Source organism: Homo sapiens, chromosome 1, assembly GCF_000001405.40.
Source record: "Homo sapiens chromosome 1, GRCh38.p14 Primary Assembly".
Lineage (NCBI taxonomy): Eukaryota > Metazoa > Chordata > Mammalia > Primates > Hominidae > Homo > Homo sapiens.
Window position 1 is genome coordinate 203,947,701 of NC_000001.11, and position 5,055 is coordinate 203,952,755.

Genomic DNA, 5,055 nt, shown 5'->3' on the forward strand with positions numbered 1-5,055 from the left:
CAGGTGATCCGCCCACCTCGGCCTCCCAAAGTGCTGGGATTACAGGCGTTAGCCACCGCACCTGGCTGGTATTTTGTGATTCTTAATGTAAACTATTATTTTCCTTGAAATTTATCCTTAGTAATTCTTTGAGACCTGGGTTGAAAATAAGCTCTTCCTAAGACATTTTGTATTTGTTTCTACAGGTTGTTAAATATCCACTTGAAATTTTTCTGACCATGCAGGCAGCATAAATTCAGACCAAAAACCTTTATGAGGTCTAGTATATTAGTTATTTATTATATAACAAATTACATAAAATTTAGTAGCTTAAATTTTTATCTTTACATAATCTTTGTAGATTATCTTTTGTAATCTTTGTAGATTTATCTTTACATAATCTTTGTAGAAAATGAGAGTAGCTTAGCTGGGTGGTTCTAGCTCAGGGTCTCAACTGAGGTTACATTAAAGATGTCAGTTGGGACTGCAGTCATCTAAAGGTTTAACTTAACTGGGGCTGGGGGGTATACATTCAAGGGGGCTCAGTCCTGGGCCTGGCAAGGTAATGCTGGTTGCTAGGAAAAGGCCTCTGTTCCTTGTCTGTCTACAGGCCAGCTTGAATGTCTTCATGACATGGCAGCTGATTTCCCCCAGAGAGAGTGTTCCAACAGAGTAAAAAGTAGAAGTCTCAATATTTTATATCCTAGCCCTTAGAAGTCACATCTAGTAATTTCTGCAATATTTTATTAGCTGCACAGATCAGCCCTATTCAATGTACAAGGTAAGTGTATGCAAGAAGTGAATGCTAGCAGGCAGAGGTCACTGAAACCATCTTAGATCCTGGGTACCACAGATGGCTTATTGTTGTAAATTACCCATGGAGATTTTCTCCTCATTCTGTCTAGTACTAAGGTCAAATCAGTTGTCACCCGACTTTTTTACAATAGGATTTTATTTTTGTTTACTTTTATACTGGGGTATATTCATTTGGATCCTAACTGTAAGTAGCTATCTCCCATTAAATTCTCCACTGGGGCTGGGTGCGGTGGCTCACGCCTGTAATCCCAGCACTTTGGGAGGCCGAGGTGGGTGGATCACCTGAGCTCAGGAGTTCAAGAACAGCCTGACCAACATGGTGAAACCCTGTCTCTACTAAAAATACAAAAAAGTAGCCAGGCGTGGTGGCAGGCGCCTGTAATCCCAGCTACTTGCGAGGCTGAGGTGGGAGAATCGCTTGAACCTGGGAGGCAGAGGTTGCAGTGAGCCGAGATCAAGCCATTGCACTCCAGCATGGGCAACAAGAGCAAAACTCAGTCTCAAAAAAAAAAACAAAAACAAAAACAAAAGACAAACAAACAAAAAACATATTCTCCACTGAGGAAGGTCCCTAGGCCTATTTCCTGAAACCCTGTAATCCATGGAAATCAAGACCTCAGAGTTGTTTAGACAACCTCAGAGTGGATGTAAGAGCATTTAGCTTCCAGAACCCCTGCTTGCAAGTCATAGTGGGAATTTGGAGATTCATGCCAGCCCATCAATACATTTTAAAATGTTATTTTTATTGAAAAAAAAGTGTTTACTGAGAATTTTCATTGTTTTATTTATTATTTTAGTTTTTGAGACAGGGTCTCGCTCTGTCACCCAGGCTGGAGTGCAATGGCACCATCTTGGCTCACTGCAAATTCTGCCTCCCGGGCTCAAGCAATTCTCCCACCTCAGCCTCCTGAGTAGCTGGGACTACAGACACGCCACCACCATGCCCGGTCAATTTTTGTATTTTTTGTAGAGACGGGGTTTCACCGTGTTATCCAGGCTAGTCTTGAATTCCCGGACTCAAGTGATCCTCTGGCCTCAGCCTCCCAAAGGGCTGGGACTATAGGCATAAGCCACCACGCCCAGCCAGAATTTTAATTGTTTTAATCAGATTTGTCAAATAAATTATCCATCATATGACAGAAATAGAATTCAATTAAAACGTTTTCCTTGAATTTGCACGACTTGCACTATTATTACAGGTTCTGCACTATTATTACAGTATTTCTAACTTTTAGAAGGGAATTCTTACCACTTTTAACTCCAATCTAGCCTCTGCTGTACTATAAACATTTAAGACTATTAATGTTCCTTTTGGTACTGTTTCAGTGACTTCTTACAAATTTTGGAATGTAAGTATTTTATTATTACATTCAGTTCTAAATATATTATAATTCCCCATTATGTTTCCTTCTTTGGTTCATGAATTGTTAAAAAAAATATATATATATATGTTTTATAGGCCAGGCGCGGTGGCTCACGCCTGTAATCCCAGCACTTTGGGAGGCCGAGACGGGTGGATCATGAGGTCAGGAGTTCAAGACCAGCCTGGCCAAGATGCCGAAACCCCATCGCTACTTAAAAATACAAAAAAAATTAGCCAGGCATGGTGGCACATGCCTGTAATCCCAGCTACTCAGGAGGCTGAGGCAGGAGAATCTCTTGAACCCAGGCAGCAGAGGTTGCAGTGAGCCGAGATGGAGCCACTGCACTCCAGCCTGGGCGACAGAGCAAGACTCCGTCTGAAAAAAAAAAATATGTATATATATATTTTATAAATAATTTTGAACACTTAATTTTTGGTTAGTTGATATATTCATAATATTGAAAAATGAAAAATATAAGATGGTATTCAGTGAAAAGTTTCACTACTACTACTGATCCCATCCACGTGGTTTCACATACTTCCTCCAATAAAGCGCCCATTGTTAAATTTTTTGTGTATATTTCCAGATAATTTATATGTATGGAAATATAAATATATACTTCCCCCCTTTACATAAATGGTGCCATATGTTAAACAATATTCAATACTTTGAATTATTTACTTCAAGTGTGTATCTTGGAACTCTTTCCATGAGTTCATAGAGAGACTTGTATTTATGTTTTCTAAATATCTGCATTTGAAAATTATCTTTTTGTTATTGATTTCTACTTTTATCTCATTAGGATCAGGAAATGTGGCCCACACTATAGTAATTTTTTGGTATTTGTTTATTCTTGCTTCCTAGCTTGGTATGTGCAGGGATGATTATTGTTAAAGTATCCCCATTGAACTCACTTGTTTAATTTTGGATTTTGGAGAATGATGGTAGGTTATAAAATTTATCAGGGAAGCACTCCTATTATAGTTATTCTTCCAGATGTAGTATTTCTTTCTCTCTAACATTATATAATATAATCCAAAGAAATTTTGATGGTCCTGACATCTTGTGATCATCATAGTAGTCTAAATATAGGCTGGGAGTGGTAGCTCATGCCTGTAATCCCAGCACTTTGGGAGGCCGAGATGGGAGGATCACTTCAGCAGGAGTTCAAGACCAGCTTGAGCACAGGAGTTTGAGACCAGACTGGGCAACATAGGGACACCCTGTCTCTACGGAAAAAAATAATAATAATTAAAAAATTAGCCAGGCACAGTGGCCTGTGCCTGTGGCCCCAGCTATTTGGGCAGCCGAAGTGAGAGGATCACCTGAGCCTAGCAGATCCAGGCTGCAGTGAGCCATGATGGCACCACTGCACTCCAGCCCGGGTGACAGAATGATACCTTGTCTGTAAAAAATAAATAAACAAAATAAATAAATAGATATAGTATGCTGTTTGCACCTATTCAGCTAGAAGTACCAAGTACTTAAATGCTTTTAGAGAGACTTTCACTTCTGAACATGGAAGTATAACAAAGACCACATTTACCCTCCCACCTTCAACAACTAAAAACACAGACAAAAGACAAGAAACAATAGTTTTTCTAAAATGGACAACAGCCATGCAAAAAAATGTTGGTCCCTTTGAGTGAAAAAATGTGAAAAATGGCTTACCCAGCCTCATAGCTGGAGGTGTTTTCTAGACCTCCGCACAGTGAGGAGGAGCCCACATGGAGCTCAGGGTCTCCTTGAGTTGAGAAGCTACAGCTGAGAATTTGAAGAGGTGAAGGCATCTAGAATTCACAGGGCAAACTATTGGAGAGAGCTGCAGAGACCTACAAAGGGTTTCCTTTTAGTCTTCAGTTGAGTACTGATTAGCACGTGGGTGTGAAAAAACTGACAGGGACCAAAGAAAGAACCACTGGACAGAATCGGGCAGAATGATTATCAGAAATTACACAAGGTTGAGAATAGTCCATATTCCCCACAATCAAAGTGGAGCAACTTTACAATACACAGGGCTAGGGTAGAGTACTAAGAAGGACTGTCTCAGTAGTGAAGTCAATTTCACTGCAGAATAAAGGCTGCTCTAATTTCACTTAAAAAACTAAAAACTGGCCAGGCATGATGGCTCATGCCTGTAATCCCAGCAGTTTGGGAAGCCAAGGTTGGAGGGTCACTTGAGCTTAGGAGTTCAAGACCAGCCTTGGCAATATAGTGAGACCCCATTTCATAAAAACAAACAAACAAACAAACAAAAACCTGAAAAGCGATCATTGAAATGACCAATATGTTTGCAAATAATAGCATCCCAGAATGAATACAATAACATTTTAAAACTACAAAAAAATTCAGCACCCATGAATATAAAATTCAGTTTGTCATCCAATAAAAAATTATCAAGCATGCAAAAACAGCCCATAATGAGGAGAAAAATAAGTCAGTAGAAACAGACTCAGAAATGACACAAATGATTGGCATTAAACTAGCTATCATAGGCCAGGTGAGGTGGCTCACATCTGTAATCCCAATGCTTGGGGAGGCTGAGGCTGAAGAATTGCTTAAGGCCAGGAGTTCAAGACCAGCCTGGGCAACACAGCAAGACCCCATCTCTACAAAAAAATTTTTTTAATTGGCCAGGCATGATGGCATACACCTGTAATCTTAGCTGCTTACCTAAGCAGGAGGCTCATGTGAGCCCAGGAGTTTGAGGCTGCAGTGAGCTATGATTACATCACTGCATTCAAGTCTGTACAACAGAGCAAGACTCTGTCCCTAAAAATATAAAATAACTATCATAAATATATTCCATGTTTTCAAGAAGGAATTAAGAGCATGCTGAAACACATGGAAGGTTTTTTTAAAAAAAAAAATCCTTATAGAACTTACAGCAATATAC